This window comes from Homo sapiens, chromosome 10, assembly GCF_000001405.40.
Source record: "Homo sapiens chromosome 10, GRCh38.p14 Primary Assembly".
NCBI lineage: Eukaryota > Metazoa > Chordata > Mammalia > Primates > Hominidae > Homo > Homo sapiens.
Genome location: NC_000010.11, coordinates 44937275 through 44955886, shown reverse-complemented (window position 1 = coordinate 44955886; position 18612 = coordinate 44937275). Strand labels below are relative to the sequence as shown.

The 18612-nt window shown below is 42.1% G+C and overlaps 1 long non-coding RNA gene across 1 annotated transcript in view, besides 1 other annotated feature; it reads left to right on the top strand.

The window, feature by feature from the left end:
• TMEM72-AS1 (TMEM72 antisense RNA 1) overlaps window positions 1-18612 on the top strand; it is a 148666-nt gene that overhangs the window by 3803 nt on the left and 126251 nt on the right. The window lies entirely within an intron of this gene.
• Window positions 7816-8055: an enhancer, noted in NCBI's record as "active region_3314". NCBI's record gives its function as "activates an Ori minimal core promoter by ATAC-STARR-seq in GM12878 lymphoblastoid cells {active_cell/tissue: GM12878}" and the evidence as "EXISTENCE:reporter gene assay evidence [ECO:0000049][PMID:35858748]".

Genomic DNA, 18612 nt, shown 5'->3' with positions numbered 1-18612 from the left:
TCCATTAAGTGAGCAGGGTGTCCTGTTCGTCTTGGGCAATTGCATTCTTTTTGGCCTTCCTACCTCAGAAAGACTTAGGAAATGCTGTTATTCTGCAAACAGTTTGGACTGACTTGTAAGATCCGTAAAAAGACAAATGGAAACACTCATGAGCCAGTGTTTTTATGAAAGAGCCGCAAAGGATAAATTTATGTTTAATTCGCAAGTAGGGAAGCTCATAAGAGCCTAAGAGCTTGATAAAGGCTACTGGGCCCATCTGTCAGGCAGGCTGCTCTGTGTGGTTTTGGCTTGAGGCATCTTGGCACCAGGGCACAGCTTCCAAAAGACCGAAAAATTACCTTCTTCCCTTTGGTGCTCCCAGGGGGAAATGCCTGGGTACAATCACATGTTGTTGAGATGTCATTTAGATTTTTGAGTCCTGAAAAATAGGTTTATATATCTTGATGTAAATGATATTAATAATGAGAACCATTTTCAAGCCATTCTCTTAAGACAGTAAGTGGGATTTTGAATTAATTTCTGATAGATCTGATTGATTCCTTAAGGCCTTTTATGGATGGCTTCATGTGATTTTTTCCCCCTTCATTGTATCCAACATTAAATTAAAAACAAATGACTTTTATTTCTCTTTCTTCTTTTTCTTTCTCTTTCTTTCTTTCTTTCTTTCTTTTTCTTTCTTTTTCTCTTTCTTTCTTTTTCTTTCTTTCTCCTCTCTCTCTCCCTTCCTCCCCCTTCTTTCCTTCCTTCCTTTCTTTCTCTCTCTCTCTCCTTCCTTCCTTCCTCTTTCCCTCCCTCCCTCCCTGCTTGCTTGCCTTCCTTCCATCCCCTTCCTTCCTTCCTTCCTTCCTTTCTCTCTCTCTCTCTCTTTCTTTCTTTCTTTCTCTCTCTCTCTGTCTCTCTTTCTTTCTTTCTTTCTCTCTGTCTCTCTCTCTCTTCTTCTTTTTTGGCAAGTCTTGCGTGCTCTGTCCCCTAGGCTGGAGTGCAGTGACAATCACAGCTCATTGCAACCTCGACCTCCTATGCTCCAGCGATCCTCCCACCTCAGCCTCTTGAGTAGCTGGAACTATAGCCATGGGTCACCACACCTAGCTAATTTCTAAATTTTTTGTAGAGACAGGGTCTCTCTATGTTGCCCAGCTGGTCTCTAACTCCTGGACTCAAATGATCCTCCTGCCTCGGCCTCCCAAAGTGCTGGGAATTCAGGCGTGAGCCCTGATGCCCTGCCACAAATGACCTTTTCAAGCAATTTTTCAAAAAGTCTGTGTGATTCCAAATGTGTATTCTTTAGAAAACAGTTGATGATTGTGCGTGCTTGGCAGGAAGAGACCACGTACAGAACGTTTCTTGCTCTGTTTGCTTTGGTGAAATCCTCGAGCAATGAGGTTATCCCATTGCATGATCTTAACGTACAGAAGACTTTGTATTTACCATCAATTTTCAGGTGAATTCTCAAAAAATCTGCATACCACTTATCTTTCCTTTCTATGTGAAATAGTTTTCATTAACTCCATTTGTTAGCATATAAATAATAACTTTAGGTTAATGTATTTTACTCTTCAACCCATACCAGAGGCAGGCTAGAAATGATAATTTATTCTCCAAATGCACATAAAGTTTAATGATGTATGCTGCATAAGTGCCTTCTTGTTAAACACACACACACAAGTGCACAGATTTTATGTATTATTTTTCCATTATGATTATGCTTTAGAAAAGCCTTTGCATGCCACCCTGCAGAACTAATAAGTGCCTGAGCACAGAGTTTCCTAGGATGGGGGGAGCTTGCTTTAAAAGATGGTATAGTTAAAAATTGCTGCTGAAACTTGCTTTTGAGGAAAAAATAAGTACTTGGCTCAAGCACTTGGTCTCTACTTGGTCTCTGAGAAAAGGGTAAGCTATCTAACACATGTCTACTCCAAACACATCTGTGAGGACAAGGATGGTCTGAAAGCCCACATGCAGAGAACATAACTAGGCCTGGTTTGTTGATAGCTTTTTCCCTTTGTCCTCACCTCCCTATCTTCCTGCTACTGGAAATTATTTATCTATCTATCTATCTATCTATCTATCTATCTATCCATCCATCTATCTATCTAGATATAGATATAGATTTATCCAACAGAACAAAGGCTGGAAAAGGACATCTCTCCACTTTCCTAGGCTGCCCCTGCCTCCCCAGGACTGTGTCACCTCCCCACCCATCCACACTTCACCACCCTTCTACCTTTGCCTTGGGCTGTTCTCCTGTGGGGCACAGAGAGTGTGGGGCTCCTGGTAAGCTGATTATTATTAATGGGCGTTGTAACTGCTGTGAGTTGATAACATCTTAAAAATAAGACAAAAATAATTACGGTGATGCAAGACTCCTGAACAAACTGCATTTTCAATATAACTCTAATTTTAACATCAGAAAGCAGCTTTATGTTGGTCAATATTTTGATCATTTAACAAACAGCAGCACTGTAAAAGGAAAGTAGGCACAAAACAGTTCAGTGTAGGAGGGTTTACAGAAGGACGGCGCTTCTCAAAGGAGAATGTCTTAAAAATGGATTTTCCTCCACAAAGAGCCTGGTGTTGCAGCTTGGGCTCCAGAATTCTTATGAATGGTGAGATATAACTGAGATGCAAAGCTGTGAACTAGTAAGTGATCAGGACCTTCCCTCAAGCCAGGATGTGAAACAGCCAAAGGAAGTGGAGACCTCCCAGATGGAAAAGGAAAGGAACCTTGAGAGGGCACAGCACATATGCACAAACAAGGGCGATCTGTCCAGCTCCTGGACTGCACATTTTAAAACACACCATCCTCAGGGTATTCTGGGAAAACCCACCAGCCAGACAATGTGGCTACTCCCATGTCCTGGAGGGAAGCTCTGTCCTGTCTATCTCTTTTAAGTATGCAGCTTCCAAGGAATGTAAAACATTCCCCAAGGGGGAAGGGCCAAACTGCCCCACAGCTAGCTAGACTTGACCTGTTAACCCTGTGTTTAAAGATGCTTCAGTTGAGTTGACCTCACCTCCCAGCCTGCCATCAAAGCCACCTCTGTTCAGCCTCCCGTTTGATGGGGGCTGCCCATGCCCAAGCTGCCTTCCCAGTCCTCCTAACTGTGAACTAAGGACTAGTGTTTAAGAAAGGATAGAGCCATGTAATTGCAAATTGTCTTAAGTTTTGTCTCATTTGGGGATCATCTCTGTCTTTTTACCTTGAAAATGAATGCTCTCAAAATAATGAATAAGCTGTCGACCTTACAACTGAGACAGAATTAGAATGATTAGTGTATTAATCAGGGTTATTCCAGAGAAACAGTATATATATTTACATATATCTCCCATTGAGGTCAAGAAAGACATGGGTGTAGCTAGCTAGGTAGTTCACTATACAGCTAGATAGATAGATTATAAGGAATATTTGGCTCATGTAATTGTGGGCTGCCAAGTTCAAAATCTGCCGGGCTGACCCCAGCAGGCTAGAAATTCAGGTAAGTTGATGTTACAGTGTTGAGTCTGAAATCTGCAGGCCAGCAAGGTGGAAACTGAATCAGGGTTTCCATGTTGCAGTCTTGAGGCACAATCGCTTCTTTTTCAGGGCACTTCAATCTTTGCTCTTAAAGCCTTTAGTTGATTGGATGAAGCCCACCCACATTACAAAGGGAAGTCTTCATTACTCAAAGTCTGCTGATTTATATGTATGTGTCATCTGAAAAAATACCTTCACAGCAACATCGAGACTGATGTTCGATCAGACACACAATAGGCTAACCAAGTGGACACCTAGAATTAACCATCACAACCAGTAAGCATGGAGAGTTTGACCCACAGCTCGTACTCATGTTTTATCAGGACAGACTCTGTAGCAGAGTGTGGCCTGATGCCAGGGCATTCCAAGGTTCCTTAGCATGTAACGGTGCCTCTTTTTCCTGGGATTTCATCTACCTGTGCAACCTGTGGCAATTTTTGAGAAATTTTTGCTGCTCCATTGGTCTAATGAGTCGACCTTAGGGATTGGCAAACATTTTCTGTAAAGGGCCAGATAATGAATATTTTCCTATTTGCAGGCTGCACTATCTCTCTTGCAACTGCTCAAGCAAAAGCAACCATAGGCAATATGTAAGTGAATGAGTGTGGCTGTGTTCCAATAAAACACTATTTACAAAAATAAGCAGAGGGCCTGATTTGGGCCATAGGTGAAGAAGAGTTTATATGGTATCTCCCTTTGGCAGGGATATTTTCTCCCCGCCAAACATGGTGAAGGGCGTGGATAAGTGACACTCTGGGCTGGGATGCTTTTAGTTGTGAGGAGTAAAAAACCCAAACAATGGGGATTTTATGACCTCACGTAATAAAAATCCCCAGCAATGGGTAGCTCCAGACTTGGTTTATTCAGTGTCTCAAAGTAATCTTGAAGGACCCAAGTTCGTTCGTTCTTTGCTCATTGCCATCTTCAGCATATTGGTTTAATTCTCCTTGATATTTGCAAATGATTTCTGTGCTTTCCCTCAGACATGCCGACATTCAGGGGAAGAAGAGGAAGAGTGTTCCAATGAGGCTCCGTTTATTTTTTTATTTTTTGAGACAGGGTCTCACTCTGTTTCCCAGGCTGGAGTGAGTGGCACGATCACAACTCACTGCAGCCTTGACCTCCCAGGATCAGGTGATCCTCCCACCTCAGCCTCCTAAGTAGTTAGGATCACAGGTACATGCCACCACACCTGACTAATTTTTTGTAGAAACGGGGTCTCACTTTGTTGTCCAGGCTGGTCTCAAACTCCTGGGCTCAGGCAATCCTCCCGTCTTGGCCTCCCAAAGTGCTGGATTTACAGGTGTGAGCCATGGCGCCTCACCTGGGGATCCTTTTAGTACTGAGGGAAGGAAACCTTTCCCAGAAGCTTCCCAGTCACCTTCCCTTTCTTCCCATTGGCCACGACTAGGGTGCAGGCACCTTGGGAAGGGTGGACCACTGTGACTAACCCAATGCAGGACATGGCTGGCCAAGGGGAGGAAGGTACATGAGCCAGGACAATTCAAGCTCCATCAGAAAACGGGGTCAATAGTATCCCCTGGGAGAAGCCGTGCAATGCCTGCCACAACCCTGCAGAGTCCCAGCAGCTGAGGGGGTCTATTCCAGGGGCGAGATCACGGCCTGCAATGTGTGAGCTGGGTCTCAAGAGGGAGAGAGGGAACAGGCTGGAGAGATGGAAGTCTGGGAGAGCAGCTCCTCGGGAGAGCACCATGCATGAGGAGTGAGGCTTGGGGCAGCTGGGAGAGGACCTAGAGATGGGGAGAGAGAGAAGGAGTGTGGCCAGGAGCACAGGGGGCCACTCAGGCCAGAGAAGTGGGAACTGAAAATGCTCTGGTGAAGGGGAGAGCAGCAGCTGGGCCTGAGACCAGAAAAGCCCCCATGGGCTGCTGGAGGCTCGGGGAGGTGGCAGTGAGCTCTGGGCTCAGGGCACAAGAGGCTTTTGGAGGCTGGGTGCTGGCTGGACTCTGTTTGCCAGCCTTCTCTGTAAGTCCCAGGCATTAGAGCACAGCAAGCAGGAATAACAGGAGCCCTGGGCCCTTAGAAGGAAACTGAGGAGAAGCCTGGATGTCCATGCTGTGTTCCTGAGTTTTAAGGTGACATTTTCTTGGCCACTTTTTATCTGCATGGTGTTGGGGAGACCCTGCTGAGGCTAGGGTTCTTGTTCTGGTCTTGGAGGTGGCACGGCTGGGGCCTGGAGGGAGAGCTTGGCACAGCTCCCAGGCTCTGCTGGGGCCCAGCTCCGCTCAGGAATTATCAGTCACTCAGAGAAAACTCAAAGGGCACTAGGCCTCCAGCAGTCAGCAGCAGTCACAACCAAAGTGGGGAGTGGCTCCATTTGCCTTCTCCACCTGAGCTAGTGCTCCCCTTTCTCATGCTTCCTTTATCCCCCACATTGATGAGCCACTTTTTCCTCCTCTTCATCTGCACTGCCACACCCCACCCCGAACACTTAGCATCCCAGGTGACTTAGCTGGAGGGAACCTGCTATGGACTGAATTGTATTCCCCTAAATTTATATGTAGAAGCTCTAATCCCCAGTGTGATGGCGTTAGGAGGTAGGGCCTTTGCAGGGTGATTGGATCATTTGCATGGAACCCTCTTGCATAGGATTAGTGCTTCTGTAAGCAGAGACATAAGAGAGATGACTTCTTTCCTCCACGTGAGACTATAGCAAACAGGCAGCTCTCTGTGACCCAGGAAGCCAGCCCTCCCTAGAACCTGACCATGCTGGCACCCTGATCTTGGACTTCTAGCCTCCCCTCCAGAACTTCGAGGAATAAATGTTTGTTGTTTGAGCCACCCAGTGTATGGTATTTGTTATGGCAGCCCAAACTGAGTGAAACAGAACCTTAGGGGTTACCTGGTCAAAACCCCCCTTGTTCAGATGATGAGAGGAGAGAGGCCCAGGCCATCAGGCAGGTGAGGTCTGTGGCCAGCCTCAGACTTTAGTTTCCTGATGGCATTAAGAATCTCTGCTCTGAGCCTGGAATGAATACAGGCTCTACCTGTTTTTAGCTGTGTGCAAATTACCACGCACTGTGGTTTCCCATCTATAGAATGGGGCTGTAAGGGACCTGGCCTCACAGGCTCTGGGGATTAGAGGAGATGGAGCAGGCAAAGCACTGAATCCACTGAGGTCTCAGTGCTCTCAGTGATTATCATCATTGTTGTTGATACGCCTGCTTGCCTTATATTCTTTTTACTGCACAAACGCCTTGTTACATATGGAAAATAAATCCACCTGCTTCAGACTCTGATGGACTTGGCCATGCTTCCTTTGTCCCAAGATAGACAATGATGTGCATGATAAGATTCCAGCTCTGCTTCCGAAGCTCAACTCAAATCTACCTTCCCAGACTTCCCTCTGCCTGACTTCCTCTCTCATAGCATACTGTTTGTGATTTTACTGTAGTGCCATGTCTGCCTCATGTCAGTCACACATTTGGCTTGTCTAGAGAGCACACAGCATGCCAGACTCACTCCTTCAGCCCAGCACCTTGTGTGATGCCTGGTCCACACAGTAGGTGCTTAGTAAATGTTTGCTGAGTTAAACCGACTTTTGCCCTTAGCAACCTATTCTCTAAGTTTATGCTGGTGCTGTTGGTTTAAAAGAAAGGAACATGTTTCAATGTGGAAAGAGGAACTCAAGACTTGGGGCCTGCAAATACCTCATCCAGTTTCCTGGAAGCTGGAAACTGAAGCTATAGTGGGCTGGTGGCATCCTCACCCCTGGCGGAGCGTGTGCAGCCTCAGGTAGAAGCACCTATTTAGGGACAAATGAATAATCAAAGGCATGGCCCATTTGCTTTACTCTTTATCTGCTCTTTAAAGGGAAATTTGATTTGAAACTCACAGAGTCTTCCATATCAATGAGGTGGTAAACATCTGCTTGGATGGGCTTTTGCTCCTGCCCCAGTTATTCCCAGTACAACCTTCTGTGGTTCTGATGCTCCCCATTTCCTCCAGATCCCTGTCCTGAGACTATGCAAGCTTTCCAGAAGCTCATACTGTAAAAAGAATTGCACAGCATATGTTTAGACTCAGTGCTGGATTTTCCTTGGGCTTGCTCTTAAGTTTGGGCAAATGCCCCCTGGTAATGTGCACAGCTGGGCATCCCTGAGGCTTGGAGCTGGCAGGACCTTTTGGGATGGCCTTATCCCTTGGGTTTCATGTGGGGAATGACCCAAGACTCCAAATCCCAGCAGAGTCAAGTGGGACCATACTCCTGGACTCCTGACTTCCTGGATGCTGCTATTCTTTCTATGCAGCTGTCTCACCCTTGTCATAATGGGAAACTCAGGGCATAACATTCCACTTAACTGCAACTTGGCTTCTCGAAATACCTCTTCTCTTCTGTGCAAAGATCATGACTCGGTTCTTCCTTCTTCTGTGGACCGTAACAAGCCATTCAGCCAGTCAAGCAAGTCCCATGGGAAATCCCCATTTTGGCCAACAGAGACAGTTCCTCTTTATCTCCCAAGAACACTACCCTTTTGCTCCCCTTTCCAGGTAGTCAAACAGCTGACTGTTCATCAGCAGGCTAGCAGCTGAGCCCGGGGCTTTGAGGGACAGATGACAGCTGGATGGCTGACCAGCTTGCAGAGAAAGCTTGAAATCTTGGGCACACAGGGAATGGAGCAAGAGATTTTCCCATTTGGACATACCAAAGGATAAGTTCTCTTTGAGAGATTGGTGAGGAGTGAGATGGGGTAGAATTCCAGGAAAAGGGAATGAAGTTTGTTTCTCAGGCAAACATGCCATCAGCAAGGTATGGGCTCTAGGCTGAGCTGACAGCAGCAGACAGGGCTTGATGAGCGTGACTTCCAGCCTGCAGAGAGAGCTGCATTCCTGCAAGAAGGGAGCAAATGGCCCCAGAGCAGCTGTAGGCACCAATGTCCCAGGAAAGAAGCATTCCGGGGCCAGGAAGATCCTGCCAATACTTCACTTATATCATAATATTTAATTCTTAGCCATTTGTGGATGTCAGTACATTATTATTGCTTTTTTTCTGTTTTTTTTTTCTTCTTGTATTATTATACTTTAAGTTCTAGGGTACATGTGCACAACGTGCAGGTTTGTTACATATGTATACATGTGCCATGTTGGTACGCTGCACCCATTACCTCATCATTTACATTAGGTATATCTCCTAATGCTTTCCCTCCCCCCTCCCCCCACCCCACAATAGGCCCTGGTATGTGATGTTCCCCTTCCTGTGTCCAAGTGTTCTCATTGTTCAATTCTACAGAATGGGAGAAAATTTTTGCAATCTATTCATCTGACAAAGGGCTAATATCCAGAATCCATTATTGCTTCTTTACAAATGGAGAAACAGGCTCAGAGGAGTTCCACTAGCTGGTCACACAGCTGGTGAAGGGCAGATATAGGGCTCAAGCCTAGGTCTTGTGTACTTGATGGTCAAAGTTCTCATCAGTGCACTCTATTTCCTCATGGTCATGGTAAAAAAGTAAAAATTAGGAGCAGTACTTTAGGACTCAGTAGCTCAGATGCCCCGTTTTATAGCAAAACAACTATTTTACTGGAGAAAATGACAAATATTAATTCATTTAAATCTCTGGAAATTGTCCTAAGGGCACACAGCAAATGGAGAAACATTCATTTAATAAAATCTACTAAATTTTGGTAAAAACAGTGAGGGAGGGTCCATGGCATTTGAACCATGACCCACTCCCCTACCCTCTCTCAGCTCTGCCTTATGGAAACTCTGCTCTAGGGTCTTTACTCTGGGCAGGTGTGGTCAAGAACACAGGGGCTTCCTCTCCCTGTAGCCCTCAGTCTAGGCTATAATTTCACTCCAGGAGGGGCAAGATGCTGGTGTGTCTCATCCCACTTGGCCCTGTGTTGCAGAAGCTCTATTCTAGGGAGGCACGGCCAAGATAACTTAGGTTTACTTTCTCTTCTGAGCACCGAGTCATTTAGCAGAAGCTCTATTACAGGAGCAACAGACTGAGAATACTGGAGCCTTGATTACTCACCCTAACTCACTCCTAGGGCAGAGGTTTCACACTGAAAGGGGCAAGCTGAGAATACCAGGGGCCACTTCCCCTAGAACCTACTTGTAGAGCAGAGGTTCCCCTAGTACCTACTTGTAGAGCAGAGGTGCCTCTTCAGGGAAGCAGGTAGTTCCCACTCCCAGCTCCTGTGCAGTGCTGCAGACATTCTACCCGGGGAGAAAGCAGACAGTAAGAATGAAGAGCTTATAGCTCTGCCTGAGAGGAAGGATTTTGTTCAGGACAGGATGTGGATAATTCTGTGCAACATACTGTTATTGAAAACAATGAATAGCTTGGGGAGAGCAATTAAAAGTGCTCGTAACTCCGTGAAACTGGTAGCAAAAAACAAAAGGGCAGGACACCCAGAAATTTAACAAATAACTGGGAAAAGAGACAGCCAAGATCCCAAGAGCCCTCTTGGCATCACAGTCAATTCTGGGAATTGGGAAGCCTGGGCAAATACTAGGCTGTACCCACTCAGGAGCAATCAGAGCAGAATGTGGGGCAACTTGAAAACACTCCCCAATTTACACACAAATCCACACACAAAAAAAGTATAGATGCCTCACTGGCACGAGGGGCTTAAGCACATGCTCTGACCAAACCCTAGACTGGGGCAACTCCTAGAAAGCTAGGCCAAAAAAATAAAATCACATACATCTCAGGCAGTCTAGATCACAGTTTTGTAGGCTCAAGATTGTGCCCTCTTAGAAGTGATCAGAGAAGAAACATCCAAGCTACTGGTCCCTAGATGAATGTAGGAATAAATGTAACCTCTTTGAATTTTGGTAGAGGCCTCCAAGCCTTATGCCCCTAGTTAGATACTTACTTAAGAGGTAAGTGTCTTACTGGTTAAGGGGTCTTAACCACAACTTTTGACCAGTAAATGGCTTATGCTGACCCAGAAGAAATTCTGAGGTAACCAGTCTAAAAGATAAGGACAGGGAGCAGGGACATCAGAAGCCAAACATTGGGGAAAAAGTGACTGACTTCATAGAATTAGCCCATACCAGTCAATAAACAAACAAATGAATAAACAAACAATAACAAGAGACCAGGTGAAAAAGGAGGGAGAATCAGTATCCAGAACTGATACCAATTATGTTCTAAAATGTTTAAATGAGAGAGTGTGATCCACAGGGAAAATTGCAAGCAATAGACACAACTTTTGAGGGGGCCCAGATGTTGAACTTAGCTGATAAAGACATCAAAGCAGCTGTTATAAATATGTTCAAAGAACTAAAGGAAACTACATTTAAAGAATGAAATAAAAGTATGATTATATCTTATGAAATAAAAGAGATATAAATTATTTTTAAAACAGACCAAATGGAAATTCTAGATTTGAAAATTACAATAATGAAATTAAAACTTCTCAACAGTAGATTTGAGATAGCAGATGAAAGAATTAGCAAACTTGAAGATAAGTTGACAGAGATTATGCAACCTCAATGACAGTAAAAAGAATGAAGAAAAAGGAACACAGCATCAAACTAATGTGGGACACTATTAAGCACACCAACATATCCATAATGGAAGTATTAGAAGGAGAGGAGAGAAAAAAGGAGAAGAATAAATATTCTAAGAAATAATGGTTGAAAAATTCCCAAGTCAGATGAAAAACATTAATATGAACATCAAAGAAACTCAATTAATTTCAAGAATAAATGCAGAGACCTACATTCAGACACATTTTCGTAAAAATGTTGAAAGACAAAGACAAAGAGAAAATCTTGAAAGCAGTAAGAGAAAAATGACTCAGCACACATAAGGGGACCCCAGTGAGAATAACAGCTGACTTTTCATCAAAAACAATGGAGACCAGAAGGCAGTGTGAAGACAATCAGAGTGCTGAAAGTAAAAACAAAAACAGAAACTGTTGACCAAGAATAGTATATCTAGCAAAACTCTTTCAGAAACAAAGGTGAAATAAAGATATTCCCAGGCAAACAAAACCTGAAAGAGTTTGTTGCTATCAGACATATCCACCTAATAAGAAATACTAAAGAAAGCTCTTCAGGCAATGACAATAGCAGCACAAAGGAGACAGGTGGAAGCAAAACTACATTGCAGAAATGAAATGAAACCAGATGGTAACTTGAACTCAAAGAAGGATATGAAGAGAACTAGAAATGGCAAATAAAAAGGTTAATATAAGAAGTGAAAAATATATACTCCTTTCTTCTTTCAGCTTCTTTATAAGACTTGATTGTAAAAAGTAATAATGACAACAATGTGTTACTGGGTTTGTAATATTTATGGATCTAATATATATTAGTAGTACTATAGAAAATTGGGGACAGAATGGAGCTATACAGGAGTAAGGTTTTTATATTTCAATGGAATTAAGTTAATATAAATCTAAAGTAGATTTTGATATGTTAAGACGTGTTATAATCACTAGAGCAATCTCCAAGAAAATAACTAAAAATATAATTTTAAAAATTATAAAAGGAACTAAATTTTTGCACTAGAAAATATTTATTTATACAAAAGATAGCAGTAAAAGGGGAACACAGAAACAAAAAATATACAAGATATATAGAAAAGTAGAAGTAAAGTAGAGGAGAAAATCAAGAGAAGTTGGTGAATAGGTCACATATATAGCTAGACAGAATATATATATATATAAATATATATATACGTTCTAATGTTTGACAGCAGAGTAGGGTGACTGTAATTAGCAGCGATGTATATTTCAATGTTGCTAGCAAAGAGGAATTGAAATGTTCCCAACATATAGAAATGATAAATACCTAAGGCGATGGATAACCCAAGTACACTGACTTGATGATTATACGTTCTATGCATGTAACAAATACTCTCATGTATCCCATAAATATGTAAAATATTGTGTATCAATATAAAAAAGCAAAATGAGATATATAAATCCTATCATATCAATAACATAAAATGTAAATGAATTCAATGATCAGATCAAAAGGTGGTGGTTACTCTATTGGATAACAAAACAAGATTTAACTCTATGTTGTCTACAGGATACACACTTTAGTTTCAAAGACACAAACAGGTTGAAAGTAAAAGATGAAAACCTGATACACACTTTAGTTTCAAAGACACAAACAGGTTGAAAGTAAAAGATGAAAACTATTCCCTGGGCAAATAGCAATCATAAGAGATCTGGAGTAGCTACAGTAATATCAGACAAAATTGACTTTAAAACAAAAAAGTTACTAAAGATAAAGAGAGACATTCCATAATAATAAAAAGTCAGTGCGTAAGAAGATATAAAATTACTGGCTTACATGCATCTAACATTAGAGCCTTGAACACATTAAGCAAAACCTAACAGAACTGAAGGGACAAACAGACACATTAGTAATAATAAAGACTTCAATGCCCCACTTTGAGTAATGAGTGGAATGAATCAGATGATCAACAAGGATAGAGAAGACTTGAACAACAATACAAACCACTTAGACTTAACAGACCTCCACAAAGCACACCATCCAACAACAGGAGAACACACATTCTACTTAAGATCATGTAGAATACCCTTCAAGTTAGACAGTATGGTAGGCCATAATACAAATCCAATGCATTTAAAGGAATTGAAATCATACCAAATGGGTTTGCCAACCACAATGGAATTGAGTTAGAATAGGTATAAATTAAATAACACACTCATAAATAACCAACAGATCAAAAGAAGAAGTCACAAGGTAAACTAGAAAATACTTTGAGATGAATGAAAACAAAAACACAGCATATACCAAAACATATGAAATGCAGTCACAGCAGTGCTCTGAAATTTATAGCTGTAAATGTCTATATTAACAAATACATGGCCAGACACGGTGGCTCACGCCTGTAATTCCAGCACTTTGGGAGGCCAAAGCAGGTGGATCACCACAGTCAGGAGTTTGAGACCAGCCTGGCCAACATGGTGAAACCCTGTCTCTACTAATAATAAAAATTAGCTGGGTGTGGTGGCACACACCTGTAATCCCAGCTACTCAGGAGGCTGAGGCAGGAGAATTGCTTGAACCTGGGAGGCAGAGATTGCAATGAACTGAGGTCGCGCCATTGCACTCTAGTCTGGGCAACAAGAGTGAAACTCCATCTCAAAAAAAAACCAAAACAAAAAACAAAACCAAACAAAACCCAAACATATTTCATACCAATAACCCTACTTTCCACCTCAAGAAACTAGAAAAATAAGAGTAAACTAAGTGCAAAGTAAGCAGAAGAAAGGAAAAAATAAATATTAGAAAAGAAATAATGAAATACAGACTGTAACAACAAAACAGAAAATCAATAAAAGCAAGTGGTTTCTTTGAAAATATTGAGAAAATGGACAAAATTTTAGCTAGATTGACCAAGAAAAAAGAGAAGGCTTAAATTACTAAAATGGGGAATAAAAAGAGGGGGCATAATTATCGATTTTATGGAAATAAGAGAGATTACAAAGGAATACTATGCCAACAAATTAGATAACTTAGATAAAATGGACAAAACTCTAGGAAGACACAAACTATAGAAACCGATTCAAAGGTGAAATTTTCAAAAAATCTGAAGCTCTATATCAAGTGAAGAGTTTGAATTAGGCCAAGGCCCAAATGGCCTCACCGGTGAATTCTACCAAAATACAACAAAAAATCGATATCAGTCTCTCACAAACTCTCAAAAAATAGAAGGGGACACTTCTTGATTTTATGAGAGCAGTATTGCCCTGATTCCAAAATAAGACAAAGACATCACAAGAATAGAAACTACAGACCAGTATTCCTTATATAGAGAAACACAAAAATCCTCAACAAAATATATCAACATATAAAATATAACCCAGCACCATGTAAAAGGATTACATACCATGAGCAAGTGGGATGCATTACATGAATACAAGGTTGATTAAATATCTGAAAGTTAATTAATGTAATGAACCTTATCAATAAAGGACAAAAACCACATAATCAATTCAATAGATGCAGAAAGACCATGCGAAAAATCTAGTACCATTTCATGATAAAAACACTCAACAAACTGGAAGTAGAAGGAAATGTCCTCAATCTCACACAGGGCATCTGTGAAAAATCCACCAGGAACATGGTACTCAGTGGTGAAAGACGAAATACTTTCCCCAACCATCAGGAGCAAGACAAGAATGTTGGCTCTTGTTGCTTCTATTCAACATTGTACTAGATGTTCTAGCTAGAGAAATTAGGCAAGAAAAAGAAAAGACTTCCAAATTGGAAGAAGTAAAACTTTCTATATTTGCAGATGACATGATATTGTATGTAGATAATAACAATGTATCCATTAAAAAAAGATTGTATAATCCTGCACGGTGGCTCACTCCTGTAATCCTGGCACTTTGGGAGGCTGAGGCAGGAGGACTGCTTGAGTCCAGGAGTTTGAGATCAGCCTGGGTAACATAGTGAGTCCCTGTCTCTATCAAAAGTAACAAATTAGGTGTGGTGGTGTGCACCTATAGTCCCAGCTACTTTTCAGGCTAAGGTAGGAGGATTGTTTGAGCCTGGGAGCTCCAGGCAGTAGTGAGCCGTGATTGTGCCACTGCACTCAGCCTGGGCAACAGATAAAGACCCTGTCTCAAAAACAAAATACAAAACAAAAAGACTGTAACTAATAAATTTGTTTAGCAAGTTTGCAAAATGCAAAATCCATGTACAAAACCAATCATATTTCTACATTCTAGCATCTGAAAATGAAATTAAGAAAACAATCCCAATCACAAAAGCAAGGAAAAGAAGAAAATACTTAGGAATAATTTTAAGAAAAGAAGTGTGAGACTTGCACATTGGAAACTACAAAACGTTGAAAAAATTAAAGATCTAAATACATGGAAGGACACCCCACATTCATGGATCAGAAGATTTAATATTGTTCAGATGGAATGGAATACTCCCCAAATTTATCTACAGAGTCAGAGAAATCCCTATGAAAATCCCAGCTTTCTATTTTGCAGAAGTTGACAAGCTGATCCTAAAATTCATGTAGAAGTGCAAGGGACCCTGAATAGCCAAAACTGTTTTGAAAAATAAGAACAAACTTGGAGGGGGCTCAGACTTCCTGGTTTCGAAACTTACCACAAAGCTACAGTAATACATGGTGTGGCAATGGCATCAGGATAGACATACAGATCAACAGGCTGGAGTTGCAAGTTCAGAAATAAACCCTTTCATTTACAGTCTATTAATGTTTAACAAAGAGGTCGAGACAGTTCAAGTCAACAAATAGTGCTGTAACAATTGTATATTCACATGTAAAATAATTAAGTTAGATTCCATTTCATACCACATACAATAATTATCTCAAAATTGATCATAGATCTAAATGTAAGAACTAAAACTATAAAAGTCTTAGAAGAAAATATAGAAATAAATCTTCATAACCTTTGGTTAGGCAATAGTTTCTCAGATTTGACCACAAAAGAATAAACAACAAAGAAAAAAAGAAAAATTGAATTTCACTGAAATTAAATTGTTTCTTCCTCAAAGGACACTATCAAGAAAGTAAAAAAAGCCGGCGCAGTGGCTCACGCCTGTAATCTCAGCACTTTGGGAGGTCGAAGGGGGTGGATCATTTGAAGTCAGGAGTTCAAGACCAGCCTGGCCAACATGGTGAAACCCCATCTCTACTAAAAACACAAAAATAACCAGGCAGTAGTGGCATGCGCCTATAATCCCAGCTAATCGGGAGGATGAGGCAGGAGAATCACTTGAGCCTGGGAGGTGGAGGTTGCAGTGAGCTGAGATCGCACCACTGCACTCCAGTCTGGGTGACAGAGTGAGACCCAGTCTCAAAAAAAAAAAAAAAAAAAAAAGAAATTAAAAAGACAACCTACAGAATGGATGAAAATATTTGCCAATCATATATCTGAAAGGGTATAGTATTCAGAGTACATTAAAAACTCTTACAACTCAAAATACAAAGACAAATAATAACCCAATTAAAAAACAGGCAAAGCATTTGAGTAGACACTTCTTAAAAAAGATATTCAAAGGCCAGTAATTACATGAAAGAAGCTCAACACCATTGGTCATTAAGGAACTACAAAGCCACAGTGCATGTATGACTATAATAAAAAAAGACAATGACAAGTATTGGCAAGGAGGTGGAGAAATCAGAACCCTCATACACTGCTGGTGGGAAAGTAAAATGGCGCAGCCCCTCTAGAAAACAGTTTGGCATTTCCTCAAGAAGTTAAACACAGAGTTACCATATGACTCAGCAATTCCACTCCTAGATTTATACCCAAGAGAAATGAAAGCAGATGTTCATGCAAAAACATGTACGCGAGTGTTCATAGCAGCGTTATTCTTTATAGGGACAAAGTGGGAACAACCCCAGTGTCCGTTAACAGACGAACGGATAAACAGAAGGTAGTATATCCATACAATGGAGTATTATTCAGCCATGAGAAGAAATAAAATAAAGATACATGCTACGACATGGATGAACCTCAGAAATATCACGCTAAGTGAACAAAGTCACAAAAAAACCAGTATTATATGATTCAATTTATACGACAGAAAGTAGATTAGTGGTTGCTTAGGGCAGGTGATGGGAGGTAGGGAGTGAGTGCGAACGGGTGCTAGGTTGTGTTTGCTTTGGGGGATGATGAAAATGTTGTGAATTTACATTGTGATGAACATAGTTTGAGAATCTACTAGAGGCCTGGCATGGTGGCTCACGCCTATAATCCCAGCACTTTGGGAGGCTGAGGCAGGTGGATCATGAAGTCAAGAGATCAAGGCCATCCTGGCCGAGATAGTGAAACCTGTCTCTACTAAAAATACAAAAATGGCTGGGCATGGTGGTGCACGCCTGTAGTCCCAGCTACTCAGGAGGCTGAGGCAGGAGCATCGCTTGAACCCTGGGGGCAGAGGATGCAGTGAGCCAAGATCACACCACTGCACTCCAGCCTGGTGACAAAAGGAGACTCCATGTATTAAAAAAAAAAAATCTACTAGAAACTGTTTAGCTGTACACTTTTTTTTAATTTAAAAATTTTTTAAAGATTATTTTGAGACAGGGTCTCACTCAGTTGCCCAGGCTGGAGTGCAGTGGAATGATCTCAGCTCACTGCAGCCTTGACCTCCTGGGCTCAAACCATTCTTCCATCTTTGCCTCTTGAGTAGCTGGAACTATACGTGTGTGCCACCATGCCTGGCTAATTTTTTGTACTTTTGGTAGGAACAGGGTTTTGCTATGTTGCCCAGGCTGGTCTCAAATTCCTGGGCTCAAGTGATCCACTCGCCTTGGACTCCCAAAGTGCTTGGATTACAGGCATGAGCCACTGTGCCTGGCCTAGCTGTACACTTTAAATTGGTGAATTTTATGTTATATGAATTATATCTCAATAAAGATATTTCAGAAAACTAACAACAAAAAACCACCTTAGGGCTGATGGGAGAGGGAGACAGAGGACCCACGGTGTGACCCCCAGGGTGCAGCTGCTAGGAAATGTGGGGTCCACTATGACTTTCCTCTGAGGTAGGCATTGGGGGCTGTACCCTCCCCAGGCTCTAGCCCTGGAACCTGGAGTGGAGACAGGAGCTCTTGGACCTGAACTGGCCTTGCCACAGACGCAAGTCAGGGTGGTGCTTCCTCAGTGCCCCCTCACGGCGAGTCCCCCGTAGGGATAGGGATGTAGTGCAATCACAGTGACTTGTTTGTAGTTCTGAAAAGCACTTGCCCATGTCTTGTTGAGTTACTGCTGTGATTTGCACTTAATAGGGGAACCTGAGCCAGAGATGCGAAGGGGCTTGAACAAGGTCAGACGTGTATTAGTGGAGGTCGAATGGTGCTCAGCCTGGTGCTCTTTCTTCTTCCTGTCACTCTGTTCTTCATATACAAAATGCTCCCCTCTCTGCTGAGGTAGGGAGGGGGATCATGGCAGGGCCAGTCCTTCTAGTCTTTGCTTCTTGGCAAGGATGCAGATCATTACAACATCTGCTTTGCAGGGATTCTTCTGGACAAGGATGTGGTCATAGAGGTCACAGGCTGAGAATCAATGGAGACACGTGGTGCTCATCTGCTTATGAGGAAGATGCCACTTTCTTGCTTGGTCCACTGATGGGTGAGAATTCTGGCCTA